We start from the raw sequence: 18,743 nt of genomic DNA, 5'->3' as shown, positions 1-18,743 counted from the left end.
TGTGATCTCATTGTTCAATTCCCACCTATGAGTGAGAACATGCGGTGTTTGGTTTTTTGTTCTTGCGATAGTTTACTGAGAATGATGATTTCCAATTTCATCCATGTCCCTACAAAGGACATGAACTCATCATTTTTTATGGCTGCATAGTATTCCATGGTGTATATGTGCCACATTTTCTTAATCCAGTCTATCATTGTTGGACATTTGGGTTGGTTCCAAGTCTTTGCTATCGTGAATAATGTCGCAATAGACATACATGTGCATGTGTCTTTATAGCAGCATGATTTATAGTCCTTTGGGTATATACCCAGTAATGGGATGGCTGCGTCAAATGGTATTTCCAGTTCTAGATCCCTGAGGAATCGCCACACTGACTTCCACAATGGTTGAACTAGTTGACAGTCCCACCAACAGTGTAAAAGTGTTCCTATTTCTCCACATCCTCTCCAGCACCTGTTGTTTCCTGACTTTTTAATGATTGCCATTCTAAGTGGTGTGAGATGGTATCTCATTGTGGTTTTGATTTGCATTTCTCTGATGGCCAGTGATGATGAGCATTTTTTCATGTGTCTTTTGGCTGCATAAATGTCTTCTTTTGAGAAGTGTCTGTTCATGTCCTTCGCCCACTTTTTGATGGGGTTGTTTGTTTTTTTCTTGTAAATTTGTTTGAGTTCATTGTAGATTCTGGATATTAGCCCTTTGTCAGATGAGTAGGTTGCAAAAATTTTCTTCCATTTTGTAGGTTGCCTGTTCACTCTGATGGTAGTTTCTTTTGCTGTGCAGAAGCTCTTTAGTTTAATTAGATCCCATTTGTCAATTTTGGCTTTTGTTGCCATTGCTTTTGGTGTTTTAGACATGAAGTCCTTGCCCATGCCTATGTCCTGAATGGTAATGCCTAGGTTTTCTTCTAGGGTTTTTATGGTTTTAGGTCTAACGTTTAAGTCTTTAATCCATCTTGAATTGATTTTTGTATAAGGTGTAAGGAAGGGATCCAGTTTCAGCTTTCTCCATATGGCTAGCCAGTTTTCCCAGTACCATTTATTAAATAGGGAATCCTTTCCCCATTGCTTGTTTTTCTCAGGTTTGTCAAAGATCAGATAGTTGTAGATATGCGGCGTTATTTCTGAGGGCTCTGTTCTGTTCCATTGATCTATATCTCTGTTTTGGTACCAGTACCATGCTGTTTTGGTTACTGTAGCCTTGTAGTATAGTTTGAAGTCAGGTAGTGTGATGCCTCCAGCTTTGTTCTTTTGGCTTAGGATTGACTTGGCGATGTGGGCTCTTTTTTGGTTCCATATGAACTTTAAAGTAGTTTTTTCCAATTGTGTGAAGAAAGGCATTGGTAGCTTGATGGGGATGGCATTGAATCTGTAAATTACCTTGGGCAGTATGGCCATTTTCACGATATTGATTCTTCCTACCCATGAGCATGGAATGTTCTTCCATTTGTTTGTATCCTCTTTTATTTCCTTGAGCAGTGGTTTGTAGTTCTCCTTGAAGAGGTCCTTCACATCCCTTGTAAGTTGGATTCCTAGGTATTTTATTCTCTTTGAAGCAATTGTGAATGGGAGTTCACTCATGATTTGGCTCTCTGTTTGTCTGTTGTTGTTGTATAGGAATGCTTGTGATTTTTGCACATTGATTTTGTATCCTGAGACTTTGCTGAAGTTGCTTATCAGCTTAAGGAGATTTTGGGCTGAGACAATGGGGTTTTCTAGATATACAATCATGTCATCTGCAAACAGGGACAATTTGACTTCCTTCCTCTTTTCCTAATTGAATACCCTTTATTTCCTTCTCCTGCCTAATTGCCCTGGCCAGAACTTCCAACACTTTGTTGAATAGGAGTGGTGAGAGAGGCCATCCCTGTCTTGTGCCAGTTTTCAAAGGGAATGCTTCCAGTTTTTGCCCAGGCAGTATGATATTGGCTGTGGGTTTGTCATAGATAGCTCTTATTATTTTCAAATATGTCCCATCAATACCTAATTTATTGAGAGTTTTTAGCATGAAGGGTTGTTGAATTTTGTCAAAGGCCTTTTCTGCATCTATTGAGATAATCATGTGGTTTTTGTCTTTGGTTCTGTTTATATGCTGGATTACATTTATTGATTTGTGTATATTGAACCAGCCTTGCATCCCAGGGATGAAGCCCACTTGAACATGGTGGATAAGCTTTTTGATGTGCTGCTGGATTCGTTTTGCCAGTATTTTATTGAGGGTTTTTGCATCAATGTTCATCAAGGATATTGGTCTAAAATTCTCTTTTTTCGTTGTGTCTCTGCCCGGCTTTGGTATCAGAGTGATGCTGGCCTCGTAAAATGAGTTAGGGAGGATTCCCTCTTTTTCTATTGATTGGAATAGTTTCAGAAGGAATGGTACCACTTCCTCCTTGTACCTCTGGTAGAATTCAGCTGTGAATCCATCTGGTCCTGGACTCTTTTTGGTTGGTAAGCTATTGATTATTGCCACAATTTCAGATCCTGTTATTGGAGATTCAACTTCTTCCTGGTTTAGTCTTGGGAGAGTGTATGTGTCAAGGAATTTATCCATTTCTTCTAGATTTTCTAGTTTATTTGCGTAGAGGTGTTTGTAGTATTCTCTGATGGTAGTTTGTATTTCTGTGGGATCGGTGGTGATATCCCCTTTATCATTTTTTATTGTGTCTATTTGATTCTTCTCTCTTTTTTTCTTTATTAGTCTTGCTAGTGGTCTATCAATTTTGTTGATCTTTTCAAAAAACCAGCTCCCGGATTCATTAATTTTTTGAAGGGTTTTTTGTGTCTCTATTTCCTTCAGTTCTGCTCTGATTTTAGTTATTTCTTGCCTTCTGCTAGCTTTTGAATGTGTTTGCTCTTGCTTTTCTAGTTCTTTTAATTGTGATGTTAGGGTGTCAATTTTTGATCTTTCCTGCTTTCTCTTGTAGGCATTTAGTGCTATAAATTTCCCTCTACACGCTGCTTTGAATGCGTCCCAGAGATTCTGGTATGTTGTGTCTTTGTTCTCATTGGTTTCAAAGAACATCTTTATTTCTGCCTTCATTTCGTTATGTACCCAGTAGTCATTCAGGAGCAGGTTGTTCAGTTTCCATGTAGTTGAGCGGTTTTGAGTGCGATTATTAATCCTGAGTTCTAGTTTGATTGCACTGTGGTCTGAGAGATAGTTTGTTATAATTTCTGTTCTTTTACATTTGCTGAGGAGAGCTTTACTTCCAAGTATGTGGTCAATTTTGGAATAGGTGTGGTGTGGTGCTGAAAAAAAATGTATATTCTGTTGATTTGGGGTGGAGAGTTCTGTAGATGTCTATTCGGTCCGCTTGGTGCAGAGGTGAGTTCAATTCCTGGGTATCCTTGTTGACTTTCCGTCTCGTGGATCTGTCTAATGTTGACAGTGGGGTGTTAAAGTCTCCCATTACTAATGTGTGGGAGTCTAAGTCTCTTTGTAGGTCACTCAGGACTTGCTTTATGAATCTGGGTGCTCCTGTATTGGGTGCATATATATTTAGGATAGTTAGCTCTTCTTGTTGAATTGATCCCTTTACCATTATGTAATGGCCTTCTTTGTCTCTTTTGATCTTTGTTGGTTTAAAGTCTGTTTTATCAGAGACTAGGATTGCAACCCCTGCCTTTTTTTGTTTTCCATTTGCTTGGTAGATCTTCCTCCATCCTTTTATTTTGAGCCTATGTGTGTCTCTGCAGGTGAGATGGGTTTCCTGAATACAGCACACTGATGGGTCTTGACTCTTTATCCAATTTGCCAGTCTGTGTCTTTTAATTGGAGCATTTAGTCCATTTACATTTAAAGTTAATAGTGTTATGTGTGAATTTGATCCTGTCATTATGATGTTAGCTGGTTATTTTGCTCGTTAGTTGATGCAGTTTCTTCCTAGTCTCGATGGTCGTTTCATTTTGGCATGATTTTGCGGCGGCTGGTACCAGTTGTTCCTTTCCATGTTTAGTGCTTCCTTCAGGAGCTCTTTTAGGGAAGGCCTGGTGGTGACAAAATCTCTCAGCATTTGCTTGTCTGTGAAGTATTTTATTTCTCCTTCACTTATGAAGCTTAGTTTGGCTGGATATGAAATTCTGGGTTGAAAATTCTTTTCTTTAAGAATGTTGAATATTGGCCCCCACTCTCTTCTGGCTTGTAGGGTTTCTGCCGAGAGATCCGCTGTTAGTCTGATGGGCTTCCCTTTGAGGGTAACCCGACCTTTCTCTCTGGTTGCCCTTAACATTTTTTCCTTCATTTCAACTTTGGTGAATCTGACAATTATGTGTCTTGGAGTTGCTCTTCTCGGGGAGTATCTTTGTGGCGTTCTCTGTATTTCCTGAATCTGAACGTTGGCCTGCCTTGCTAGATTGGGGAAGTTCTCCTGGATAATATCCTGCAGAGTGTTTTCCAACTTGGTTCCATTCTCCCCATCACTTTCAGGTATACCAATCAGACGTAGATTTGGTCTTTTCTCATAGTCCCATATTTCTTGGAGGCTTTGTTTGTTTCTTTTTATTCTTTTTTCTCTAAACTTCCCTTCTCGCTTCATTTCATTCATTTCATCTTCCATTGCTGATACCCTTTCTTCCAGTTGATCGCATCGGCTCCTGAGGCTTCTGCATTCTTCACGTAGTTCTCGAGCCTTGGTTTTCAGCTCCATCAGCTCCTTTCAGCACTTCTCTGTATTGGTTATTCTAGTTATACATTCTTCTAAATTTTTTTCAAAGTTTTCAACTTCTTTGCCTTTGGTTTGAATATCCTCCGTAGCTCAGAGTAGTTTGATCATCTGAAGCCTTCTTCTCTCAGCTCGTCAAAGTCATTCTCCGTCCAGCTTTGTTTCGTTGCTGGTGAGGAGCTGGGTTCCTTTGGAGGAGGAGAGGTGCTCTGCTTTTTAGAGTTTCCAGTTTTTCTGTTCTGTTTTTTCCCCATCTTTGTGGTTTTATCTACTTTTGGTCTTTGATGATGGTGATGTACAGATGGGTTTTTGGTGTGGATGTCCTTTCTGTTTGTTAGTTTTCCTTCTAACAGACAGGAACCTCAGCTGCAGGTCTGTTGGAGTACCCTGCAGTGTGAGGTGTCAGTGTGCCCCTGCTGGGGGTGCCTCCCAGTTAGGCTGCTCTGGGGTCAGGAGTCAGGGACCCACTTGAGGAGGCAGTCTGCCTGTTCTCAGATCTCCAGCTCGTGCTGGAAGAACCACTACTCTCTTCAAAGCTGTCAGACAGGGACATTTAAGTCTGCAGAGGTTACTGCTGTCTTTTTGTTTGTCTGTGCCCTGCCCCCAGAGGTGGAGCCTACAGAGGCAGGCAGGCCTCCTTGAGCTGTGGTGGGCTCCACCCAGTTCGAGCTTCCGGGCTGCTTTGTTTACCTAATCAAGCCTGGGCAATGGCGGGCGCCCCTCCCCCAGCCTGGCTGCCGCCTTGCTGTTTGATCTCAGAGTGTTGTGCTAGCAATCAGCGAGACTCCGTGGGCCTAGCACCCTCCGAGCCAGGTGCGGGATATATTCTCCCGGTGTGCCGTTTTTTAAGCCTGTCGGAAAAGCGCAGTGTTAGCGTGGGAGAGACCCGATTTTCCAGGTGCGGTCTGTCACCCCTTTCTTTGACTAGGAAAGGGAACTCCCTGACCCCTTGAGCTTCCTGAGGGAGGCAATACCTCGCCCTGCTTCGGCTCGCGCACGGTGTGCTGCACCCACTGTCCTGCACCCACTTTCTGGCACTCCCTAGTGAGATGAACCCGGTACCTCAGATGGAAGTGCAGAAATCACCTGTCTTCTGCCTCCCTCATGCTGGGAGCTGTAGACCGGAGCTGTTCCTATTCGGCCATCTTGTCTCCACTTTGGATGTAAGCCATTTTAACTGGGATGTGGTAATATCTCATTATAGTGTTGATTAGCATTTCTCTGATAATTATGTTAAGCACCTTTTCATATATCTGTGCCATTTGTATGTTTTCTTTTGAGAAATACCACTGTCTGGCACTCCCTAGTGAGATGAACCCGGTACCTCAGATGGAAATGCAGAAATCACCTGTCTTCTGCGTCGCTCAGGCTGGGAGCTGTAGACCGGAGCTGTTCCTATTCGGCCATCTTGGCTCCTACCCCCACCTTTTCAATAAGTTATTGCTGTTTAAACATTTTTATGATAGCTGCTTTAAAATCCTTATCAATCAGGTAATGCTAACATCTAAGTCATCTCAATGTTATTATGAACTGAGTATCTTTTTTTTTTTCATTTATGTTTTGCGTTTCCTGGATCTTGGTATGACAGGTGATATTTTTGTTTGTGTCCTGGACATTTTGGCTAATATATTGGGAGACTATGGATCCTATCTAAATCTTGTATTTTTAGCAAGAAGTCACTCCATTGAGATTTGGCGTCAAGGTTCTGGCCTACTTTGTGAGTTGAGGCTACAATGGCAGTTTAATATTTTTAGAGCTTTCGCGGTGCTATTTTGGTCGGCATGGTTTATCTGGTGCCTTGGGAACTCCCACTGGTCCTTGCTTGTGCTGCCTGAGGGAGCAGACAGGGTTTTCCCAGGCCCACAGAAATAAAGAACCTTCCTTGGTAGGCCACTTGTCGTGGCTGGGCCTTTCCCATCATTTCCACCCACCTGCTCCAGCATCCTCTGGCAGAAGAAGGGATTCTTGGGTCCTTTTTTCTCCTTTGTTGGGACAAAAATGCTTCACGTACAGGGCACCCTCTTGTGGTAGAAATCCCCTGGTTGCTGTTTCCTGGATACCTGATGTCTCTCAAAATGGGAGAGAGTGTCAGGTCCGTAGAAACAAAAAACCTTTTTGGACAAGGTCTGCTTGTTGGGGCAGGATACCCATTGCCAGTACTGCCTGGCTGCCTGGTGTTTCACAGTAAGGGAAGAGAGTCCTGGGCTGTCAGGGAAGGAGAGTGCTTCCCCTGGCTACTTATTATTAGTAGGGCTCCCAATCATGTCCCCTTGCTGCCATTCCCAGGTTCACCTGATATTGTGAGAGGAATTACCATTTGATCCAGTAAAGAAGCAAGCCTACCTGGGCTGCCATCTGCTGTTCTGTCAGGGATCAGGAAATGCTGGGTCTGTGTCACCTTGTTCTGTTGGATAGGGGGAGGATCATAAGACACCCTGCTACTGTGCTATTTATCCAATACTGGGATCCTAAACCAGTTAGCCAGCCTTTTACCACCTTACAGAGTTTTCCTCTAGTTGTTGCTTGCATTATTCCCAGGGTTCATATTTGTATTAATACTTTGGGCAGAGGAGCAGGGAGAAATACATCTACACCATCTTGTCTGGACCAGACATCTGATTGTAGTTTAAAGGCCTAAAATGGGAAGCAAAGAGAGGGAGAGGAGAGTCAACAGAGCGAGGTCCCAAAAAGTGCTTAGAGAAAAGAACTCAGAACACAGATGAGGATATAAGTATTAGCAAAGGACAGAGAGGAAAGAAGATGCATATTCAGATAGGTTTATAGGTTTGGTAGCAGGAATTTGAGGACATTCTTAGCCGATGAATCTACTTACTTTCCTGTGAAACAGAGAGGCAACATAAGAGCCCAAACTCGATGTTTTACATTTTTGGTTATGAACCCCAGTTGCACTTCTTACCAGTTGTGAGGCCTTTGGCATATCACTTAAATCCCTGTGTGCCTCAGTTTCCCACAAAATGGAAATTAAAACAGCATATATCCTCATAGGACCGTTATGATGGTTAATTGAAGTGAGTTAATATTTGAAAATGCATTTAATATGGTATAAGTGTTTGTTATGTAGGCAAAAATATCTCGTAAGGTTCTTACGAGATATTAAATAAGATAAGCTCTACAATGTGTGCAGCAAACTGCCTGGTATATAACATTCAGTGTTACTATGATTTTCAAAAGTATTCTTTGCAGGCTTAGGATATTTTCTTGAAGTAAAATCATAGGTCACAATTTGCCAATCCCATGTTTTTGTCAGAGAGGGTCTAGGTGACAGTGGGCACAAATACATAATATCAGTCTTGGTAGAAATAGTAGGGATGGGGAAGCTGCATATGAGGAACTCCAAGATGCAGTTGGAGCATCTATTTCCCTGGGAAGCTTTAGGCAAGTGCCCAAGGCCCACTGAGCTTCTCCAGCCTTAGCATACATTTTGCTATGTTGTATGCAGCTTTCTGCCCTCCTTTTCTTGAAGTCTGAGTGCTCCTCCAGGGTAGAGACCGGCAATAGGAAAAGGTTTCAACTCCCTCACATCACAACATATCTCCATGCTATAATATACACCCTCTCCCAAAGTAACATTTGAAAGTCCCTGAGAAAGCCAAATGGACTCAAGTGTCTGGAATATGTTAATATGGGCAGTCAGCTGCATAAATTGCAAAACAGAAGTCATGCTTCTATGTATTCTGTGACAGCAGAAAAATCGTAGGATCTTCTATCACGATGGGAAAGGAATACAAAGAAGAATTAGTGCCATCTTGTGGAGTGATATATCATTACCACTTAAGAGTCGCCAGTGAGAACTGGGTTATATTTTTTTAGTATCTCCCGAGTCCTGGTCTGCAAGAAATGCTTGAAAATTACTTGCAGAATTAAATGAATAAATGAGAGACGAGATAAGAATTGGATGGAGACTTTGTTAATTTAAACATCACCTTGATAAAATGTTTGACGCACTGTCCATTGCGATTTGGAGACCTTTAAAAATGGTGTTGTAGACACCCCAAGTCATTATTATGTACCTACCATAAAGGAAAATGAAGAATAAAATATTTGCATTAAGAAATCAAGAACTATGAACTTTTTCTTGTCCTGGCCTTATCAGTAGTAGGTGAGTAAACTTTCTAATGGTATTTTTCTCTTCCTGATTATCAATGTGCTGCAAATTAATAAATCATTCAAAGAACACGAAGAGCTGGGGCACAGTGACTCATGCCTGTAATCCCAGCACTTTGGGAGGAGAAAAAGGGTGGATCACTTGAGGTCAGAAGTTCAAGACCAGCCTGGCCAACATGGCAAAACTCCATCTCTATAAAAAATACAAAAATAAGCCAGCGTGATGGCGCATGCCTGAAATCCCAGCTACTTGGGAGGCTGAGGCACAAGAATCACTTGAACCTTGGAGGTGGAGGTTGCAGTGAGCCAAGATTGCACCACTGCACCCCAGCCTGGGTGGCAGAGCAAGACCCTGTCTCAAATAAATAAATAAACATTTTAAAAATAAGAAAAACAAAGAGCATGAAGAATATGGGTAGCTTCGGAGCAGGTGGGTGTTGTCCATATTCTATTAAGTTTAATGAAAATAAATTGCTGACAATCAACTATTTTGACCTATAACAATGTCAGTTTCTTATGGATTGGCCTAATATTTTAAATCAGTTCACTTAATTTATTCTGGGTATATGATAGGTCAGGATATTGTAGTAGGCCCTAGATGATACAGGGACAAATAATACATGGGCCTTGCCTTTAGGAATCTTACCATTTGGTGTGGAAGTGGGCACTTAGATACCATGCCTTCTATTTTAATAATTTCTGTTAAGTGCCAACAGTGTGGAGTTAAGCCAAATTTTGTGGAGGTGCTATGAGAGGTCTAGGAAAGCATAATGGTTTGGAATGGTGGGTAAGAGCAAGGACTCTGGCACCAAACTCTCTCAGTTTGAATGTTAATTTCACTACTTACTAGATGGGTGACTTTGGCCAAAGTGCTATGCTTTTCTATTCCTCAGTTTCCTCATATATCAAGTGAGATCACATACTGCCCACCTCATATGATTGAAGCAAGGGTTAAGTGAGTTCCAAAGTACTTGGAATAATTCCTCATGCATAGCAAGTTGTGTATAAGTTTTAGCTGTCTTCGTCACCATCATCAGTCATCATCATCATCATCATTACCATCATCACCTCTATTCCTGCAGAAGTATTAGAGTTGTGTTTTGTAAGCTGAGTTAAATTTCATTATTCGTTTTTTCTTTTGAAAACGTTGCCAATAATTTATTTATTGAGTTCCTATTTTTCCCAGTTCCTGTGAAGAATGGGTAGGAATACCCTTACCTACTTTTTTCTACTAGATCATCATTTTTGTAAATCTGGGCCTGAGGCAAGAGCTTTACAGGCAAAAGCATGGGACAATGAAAGGACAGAGGACAGTAAGACTGTTGTCATTGGAATGAATGGCTCATGGGGGCTTGTATCAAGTTATGGAGAAGATAAGCCAAGACTTAGATTATTTGTATCTATTCACGTGTATATTTGTGAAGGCAAAACCTGTTCTCGGTTGGCTTTAACAAAATCAGCTGAAATAGCTGGACAGAAGCTACATAAGGTAAGGGCAAAGGCATGCTGCATTGCTGGCATATAGTACCTTAGGCCTATTCTGTGGATACTTGGTTGATGCTGAATGCTCTTTGTCCCCAAGTTGTAAAATCACCCCTCCTTGAAAATTATTCTCTAATAAATTTTTTAATCATAAATTAATTTTGTGCCATGGCAAAGGTATTGACAGCTAAGAAGTAAAACTGTAAAATTAACTGCTATGGACTAAGAACGGCTAAAATTTCACTTTGTTTTTAATGCCTTAACCACCTGACAACATATTGTAGCATGACTTTATGAAACATGGATAACATTCATCATTTGAGTCTGGAGATCCAAATTCAGTATTTCAGAGTGGGATCATGATGGGCTGTAGTCATGAGTGTTTACTATGTTGTAAAAACGTCCAAGTGGGAATAATGACATGTTTGCACTCCCTGTGACTTGATCACTGAAATCTGGAAAGCTCATCAACTTCACCCATTGTCAAGTCCACCTTTGCTCCTTTGTCCTCTGAGGACCCAGTGAGATCAGCATTTTTCTGGAAGGGCTGCAAGTGACCCCACTGGAAGGAGCAGCACTGTGCATCAGGATGGATTCCCAGGCACACTATACATTGTGGGGTCACAGGCCATATGGGTGGACTAACTGATTTCATGGCTGTATTTGAATTGACTTCCCTCCTGGAATCCTGATGCCTCTTTTAATTTTATGTGGCAACTATCATTTGCTTTTGCTGATCATTCATTCAATCACCTCTATCATTTCTCAATGAGGGCATTTTTAAATATATTATTTATATATTTTTATTTTTTTTTTTTTACTAAATATAGACCAGCCATCAACTTGAACTTAAAAACTGACACACCAGTTAGTTCGGTCAATAGTGCAGAAATATTCTTCTATGCTACTATGATTTGAGCCCACTATAGATACTTTTATAGCTAGTTATGCCAGCAAGACTCAATGAATGATACTTGTCCAGATTGCTATCAGGAGCTAATCATATGAAAGGTAACACCAGCTTTATGTAGGATCTGTTTATACTTAGGGTACTTCCTGGATTTTGACGGTTTTCAAAGCTAATGGCCTATTAAATAGGTCCCAGAGGTAAAAGAAAAAGTGGCTTGGCCTAAACCATGGTGAATCATCTTATGGTAGAGTTCAGGTTTCTAATTCATAATCTTGTTAGCAGAACGTGCCTTTGAATGGAAAGTAACGTACAACCTCTGCCAATCTTTGCAACTCACTAACAAAACTCAGCAAAGTTTGCCCAATGCCAATGTTTAAAAAAATGGATGAAAACAGCATGGATTGAAGAACTCACATACAAAATATATAAGGAATGAAGACAAATGGCATCAAAATTGTATCTGGGTAAAACATTTGCTGTTGAGTGTGCCATAATTTGAGAGCACAAACACAGCCTTGAGGGTAAAGTTCAAGGTACGGGTGTCCCCTTTTCTAAGGGGACATAACACATAAGCACATAACAGTCCTCCTGTTATGTGCTAAAAGAAAGGAAGCTCATATTAGATTGCTCCAGATGTAGAAATCATAACAACAATAAAGATGATAATATTAACAAGTCTAATTTCTGGAACATTTAGCCTAATGTTTAGGCATGTTTACATGCCTAATATGCATTATCACGTTTAATTCTTGCTTTTTTTCCAGTTGAAATCTTATTTTATTTTTTACATTCAGTATATTAATTTTAAAATAAATTTTGTGCATATTTAAGGTATACGACATGGTGATGGATATGTTCATTTGTCCCACTATAGAGATGATTTTACTATATATATATATATATATATATATATATATATATATATACACATATGTATCTTAATATTTGCTTTTATGAAATCCTTGTATATAAATATTTTTATTCTCCTCAATGTAATATTTTAAAAACTTCATTTTAAAGAAAAAATAAATTTATATGCTCTCTTAAAGCAGAGAGAACAAAACCTAACAAATCAACAGCAAAAATGAAGGCACTCTTTTTCACTTCAAATGGATTTGTTATCACAGTCTGTACAGAATTTAGCAGTGACACCTTGGTGTTCTAAATCCTTCTAAACTGAGTTTCCTCCTTTTTTTTCTGCAAGAAGAGCTTCTTTATCTTCCAGAATCATGACTGTATTCTTTTCCTTGTATACTCTATCTTGCAGTCAGGGAATGACCGGAGAGCGTTCTCATGTGTCTCTATTAATTACTACCCCAAATATACCTTTTTCTGGAGGGGAAGTACCAGGAAAATCTTCCCTGTTTAGCTGTTGCAGGGGTATCACATGTTGGGTTTTCAGATGTAGCAAACAAAAATAGAGGCCAGCCAGTTAAATTTGACTTCAGAGAAACAACAACAAAACAATTTTAGTATAAGTTGATCCCAAATATTGCATGGGACAGACTTGTACTAAAAAATGTATCATTTATCTGAAATTCAAATTTAAATTGGCACCCTATATTTCATCTGGCAAACCTATATACTAATTATAATTTCCAGATTACATAATTGAGTTACAGCAGTAAGACCAATTTTAACTTGTTTCATCATAGTGGGAATCCTGCCGAATTGTCTTCACTTCCTTAGAAACAAATGAGTAGCAGATGTCTGATTTGGTGAATGGGTTATCAGCTGAGTACAACCAACTTACATAATAATTTAAGCAGGAGCAAGGATGCATGCTAATTATATGTAGGCTTGCATAGAAATTTTTCTTTAGTTTACTCATTTTAGATGTATAGTATTTCAGAGTCTGAAAAAGCTGTGGAGGTCCATCGGTGTAATGTCACCTCCAAAATCCCCCACCGTGGCCTGGGACCCCATTCTTTACACTGTAGGGTTGCTGACAAAATGTTACCAGGCCAGAGGGGTCAGTCGTGGCCAAAGACCAACCCACATTCTGCTTTTCAAACCTTGCACCCACAGAAGGCACTTCCCACCTTCTCCACCCCACACCGACCCAGACATGTACATACGTGCCTTGCACTTGCCAGATCATGCACTCCCAGTTTGTGCCTCCTCCGAGCTGGTGCCTTTTTATATAATTTGCATGAAGGCAGTAGACTCTTGGCCCTGATTCATAAAAACATTTAATGCCCATTTGCAAAGTCACTACCCAGAGCCAAGCACCACATTAAGTTCTGGGAATGCAGAGATGGATGGGGCATGGTCTCTTCTTTCTAGGAAATTAGAGTCTGGCATGGGACAGACAAGCAAAGAAATCATTTAAAAACGTGCCACGATAGTAGGTGTGCATAGGACACGATGAGAGCACAGAGGACAGAAAGCTATCTCAGCCTAGTAGCATGGAACTAGGAGGGATTCTCAGAGGGGTTGGAACTTAAGCAGGATGTAAATGAAAGAATGGGGTTAGTGAGTCAAGAGGGGGTGGAAGGGAGGGAGAAAAGGCATTCTAGGTTGAGGGTGACGCAGCACCAGCAAATTCACAGAGATCTGAAATTGAGTGCCCTGCTTGGGAAACCTCAAGATAACTCATTTTAGCTGGGGTAAAAGTGGGGGGCTGAGGGTGTGGCAAATTATAAAGGGTCTTTACAGAGAGAATGATTTGGGAAACACTGAATTAAACAATGCCCTGTGGGGTAACATTGCTCCTGCTATATTCCCCCCAGTGCCGAAAATATTGACTAGCTAATAGTAAGTACTCAATATATGTTTTATTAAATGAATGAATGAACAAGTGATTGAATACATGGCAGGACTTGTCAGAGCCTTTGATAGAACAATGTGTGTTATAGATCTCAAGAGAGGGGCATAGTATGCAGAATTCTCACCTTATTTGACCACATAACCGTTTTTGTCACTGAATAATACATTTCTAAAATCTATTATTTTTGAAACACACTTGGGGAAATCATGTTCTAAAGGAGACATGAAAATGTAAAACTACATGAATAAATAGAAAGTGAGAGAAATCTATGATAAGGTTTCAGGGCTTATGCTTACATGAAATGGTGCTCAATTTTTTCTCTATCGTCTTCTTGGAACTAGGTGATTCATTGATAGTGGGCAGCATGAGAGGCCGGACACAAGGTGGGCTGGCCCAAATTCCAGGGGGCTTTGCAAGTCCTCTTCGGCAACAATAATTTGTATTCACTTTTTATTTTCCCTTGTTTACACGTTCAGATTGTTCTATAGCTAATCAGAAAAATATTCACTTTCCCTGTGGGCCTAATGGTCCCACACCAACGCTAATCTCAGAAACTGTGGTCTTAAGGTAAAAACATGTATCAAGCGCTAACTTTACACCAGACACTTTCCACATTTTAACTTACTGATTTTCCATGATGGTCATGGTTATAATGGTATAATAATAATTACATATTGAATGTTTACTCTCTGCCAGGCAGTGGGCTAAGTACAGTTTACAATTGTTATCTCATTTGTCCTTCGTGACAACCCAACTCATTTATAACAATACTGAAGCACAGAGAGGTTAAGTAACTTGTAAAAAGTTACACAGCTGGTAACTTGCAGATTAGGGAAGTGGACCTGGGTCTGCCTGATGCCAAAGCTTACATATTACATGTTTAACCACCCCGCCATGTTACTGTTAAGCTTACTATAAATCCTTTGCAGTGTATAATCAAAGAGAAGTTCAATTTCACTCCTATGTCCATACAAATATATCTTCAAGAAAACAATCCTAACCTCAATGACTACCATTAAATAGGATCCATTTATACCTACTTGCCAAGTAGTCATGGATCAGTTATGTATCATTGCTATATATGTGAATAGGTCAAGCGTGTTACAGTGTTATTAGAACAGTCAACCGAATCATGTTAAACCCTGATTCATAACTTGTACTTGATGCAGGATATTAACTACTCACAGCATAACACAATTAGACACCCCCAGAACAGAACAAAAGCAGTCAAGAGTATGCTGTGCTGGACCCCAAACTAGTGAGTTCCCCACTCTTCCCTCAGAGGCTCTAGGGATCCATGAATCTGCTTCTTCTATCTTCTCACACATAGACCAAAATAAAACGAAGTAGGCTGGTTGTGAGGCTTAATGAAATGTCTCCTCCTAGGCTGTTGGCCCAGAGACTGGCCACTTGTGAAATTATATATATATATATATCATATATATATAATATATACTTATATATATATATATAATATATACTTATATATAAGTATGATATATATATATACTACTTTTGACTTTACATTTTGCACTTGCATTTAAAAGTATTCATTCAGATCATTGCATAGTCCTTGTAGTTGCATTAATAGGTAGGAATGACATATTTTAATTTTGTCGTAAAATATAACATACATACAAAAGAGTGCATGTACAATTAATGATGAATATTTACAAACTGAACTCACCTAAATAATGAGCACCCAGATGAAGAAGTAGAACATTACCAGCACCCCCAAAAAGAGCCACTGTGGTCACTAACCCTTAAGGGTAACCTCTATCCTAAATTGGAACAGCATAAAAGCTAGAAGAACTGAAACCGTGGTCTAGCTACTAAATGACAGACATACTTGGACTATCTGACTCCAGAGCTTATACATCAGACAATGCATGCTTAAAACTACAAGCCTTTCCACATTTCATAGAGGGAAGAATATTTTTAGTTCAAAAAATGTTTCACGATGTTTGAAGTTAAAATGACGAGTTTCTAAATAGCCAGGCCTGAAAGAGTGACCATGGCTGTGGAGAGGGGAGCCCATGATGATGGCTGACTTTCATGATGCTGCCCCCTGGATGGGTTCATGACAGTAGTGATCAAAAAGGGCTAAGGGCCAAGTCCTAAACCTCTGTAACTTTGCAGTCCCTTCGGGGCTCTCTTTTCTGAGAAGATATTCCCACAGTAGAAAACTGCCACTGACAAAGTTTCATTGGCCAGGTAGTGTGAGTCTTAATTGCAACCAGATTTTATGTGGCGGAACAGACAACACTTTGCTCTGATGATGTAATTCCTGCCAAACTCTGTAGTATATCTCTGGTTTCTAATTCTCCAAATTCCCCCATGGAATTGTTATTCCCTTTTCACAGATGGGAACACTGATGTTCAGAAAGTTTAAATGCCCTGACCAAGGTCACATGGCTAGTAAATTCCTTGGCCAGGATGAAAAGCCATGTCTGTTTTGACTAGAACTTCTGCCTGTATCCGTTATATATCAAGCTTGAAACACTCCATAGCTTCACCAAGAGTTGCTTCATTGGAGATAGTTTGACTATGGCCTCCAGAATTTCAGATAGATGTCCTGAATTTCTACTATTTTGAGATGATTCAGAAGGAATTTGCAGGGCCTCAGAATGATCATTAATCACATCAGTTACTACTGATGATATCAGAACCAGACTAAAGTATTGCTTGTTTCTCAAAGTTTGATCCATGGACCAGCAGAATAAAATGAAGGATCTCAGGCCACATCCTAGACCTCCTGGGTAAGAATTTGAATTTTAACAAGATCCCCATGGGACTTGTGCACACATTAAAATTTCAGATGCATCATTGAATGCCTGGAAACAAAGTTTAGTATATTCTGCAAAATGGGCTATGTGGATTTTATATCTTGGATAAAAGACATAAAAATATGAGTGAGATTATTTATTTTATTTCAAGAAGAAGAAGCCAGCACCAGTGCCTTGCTGAGGCCAAGAAACTCAACTTGGCAATCCCAATTCCTGAATCCTGTTTCCATAATCGCTCTCCAAGTTCTGGTCCCCTCTCACCTCACATCATATAGCAGAAAACGTAGATTCCCCTGAAGCCGCTTAGACTCTGAAAACTTGGCCCACAGAGCCTCGTCCTTGAGCACCTGGGCCTGTGAATCATCTGGGCATGGATGCTCTGGTGAGCTTTCCCGGCCTTGGAACCTCACCTACAACCATTTAATCGTTGACAAGGTTGACAAAGACAAGCAATGGGAAAAGGACTTCCTAGTCAATAAATGGTGCTGAGATAATTGGCTAGCTATATGTAGAAGATTGAAGCTGGACCACTACCCTTCACCATATACAAAAATTAACTCAAAATGGATTAAAGATGTAAATGTAAGACCTCAAACTATAACATGAGGAGTGGTGAGAAGATTCTAACAGGAAGGATCTCTCTCCTTCACTTTGGTCTCTTTGCAGGCATGTTCTATCGTTAGCATTAATTAGGTTTACAGTATTCACACACCTGCTAGGGAAAAATAGACTCCTTAATTTGCTGCAAGGTAAGGAAACATCAGCCATCTCAGCTATGCCTTTGTAGACATTATAAATCATGTGCAACATCAAAAAGATATTTAAGCTCCCTAAATATGGGTTGCGTTATTTGACTTCTAATAGCATTCTGACTAGCAATAGCAAAGAGAAATGGGTTTGCACTGAAATCATGTCAGCAGGGAGGTTGTAACTGCTACTCTGAAAACATTCTTCCTGCTTCCCAAGGCATTTTGTCATTAGTGGAACGACCACTGTGCAATTGATAGCCTTCCAGAACTTGTTAGCTCTGTAAAGTTGATGTCCTCTAAAATTTCACATTAGCAAGAGCACATCACAGAGTCATTCATTCATTTATACAACAAGCATTTATTGACCACCTACTATGTAGCAGGTGCAAATCTGTGTGCTACAGATAAAATGGTGAGGAAGTCCAAACTCAATGGTGAGCTCTCTGGGTGAGACAGACATTTAACAAATAATGCTCAATTTACACTTTAAAAAATGTAAGTATTGGTGTCAAATGCTAGTACACAAAGGTACAGGCTACAGTGGGGATCGGTGAGAAAGAATTAAGTCAGTTATGTAGACATGGAGGATGGAGTCAGAGAAGATTTTCTTAGAGAAATGACTTTTAAGCTGAGGTGAGGTCTGAAAGATGAATGGGTGTCAACTAGGTAAGATGGGCGAGAGAGCAGAGTGGAAATAGGGGCTTCACTCCCAGCAGAGGAAATAGCAAGTACACAGTCCCTTTGGTGGGAAAGAGCATGGAACATTCGAGAACTGAAACAGGCCCAGTAAGACTTGAGAGTAAAGAGAGAGGAAGAGTTGCACACGACAAGTGTGATTGTGCAGGGCCTTGATAGTCATGGGAAGGATGGTGATGTTTTCTCTAGTGCAATGGGGAGACCTCAAAGGGCTCGGAGAGATTGAGTATAATTTGTTCCAGGCCTCACAGCTGTAAAGGACACAGTGGTGATTCAAACCCAAGGCCATCTGACTGCTGAGACAGCTCTTTCAATCACAATATAGCTCCTGTTCATTTTTATGCAACTACACTTTTTCTGAAATCTCCTCCAGGCCTTAAACTTCAGGCCATCTCTAATTCAAATTGTGCCTTGATTTGTTTTGAAAGATGTCTTGGGTGTTTTCTACTACATAACAAATGGGCACTGGGACAGAGTGCCTGTTATAGTACCAGTGAGATAAGTGAGTCTAGCTTTCTATGTCAAATAAGCTGGTGGAATTTATAATAGAGAACAGGACCAC

The 18,743-nt window shown here is 40.2% G+C and overlaps 1 protein-coding gene across 4 annotated transcripts in view, besides 1 other annotated feature; it reads left to right on the top strand.

The window, feature by feature from the left end:
- Positions 1-18,743, top strand: part of FGF13 (fibroblast growth factor 13) — a 590,297-nt gene that overhangs the window by 420,899 nt on the left and 150,655 nt on the right. The window lies entirely within an intron of this gene.
- Positions 5,112-6,311: an enhancer, noted in NCBI's record as "MED14-independent group 3 enhancer chrX:137859976-137861175 (GRCh37/hg19 assembly coordinates)". NCBI's record gives its function as "activates an origin of replication core promoter dependent on BRD2, BRD4, P300/CBP and CDK7 cofactors, and independent of MED14, by STARR-seq in HCT116 cells {active_cell/tissue: HCT116}" and the evidence as "EXISTENCE:reporter gene assay evidence [ECO:0000049][PMID:35650434]".

This window comes from Homo sapiens, chromosome X (genome assembly GCF_000001405.40).
Source record: "Homo sapiens chromosome X, GRCh38.p14 Primary Assembly".
NCBI classification, from domain to species: domain Eukaryota; kingdom Metazoa; phylum Chordata; class Mammalia; order Primates; family Hominidae; genus Homo; species Homo sapiens.
The sequence above is the reverse complement of the archived record's forward strand: the minus strand, read 5'-3'. Positions and strand labels throughout refer to the sequence as shown.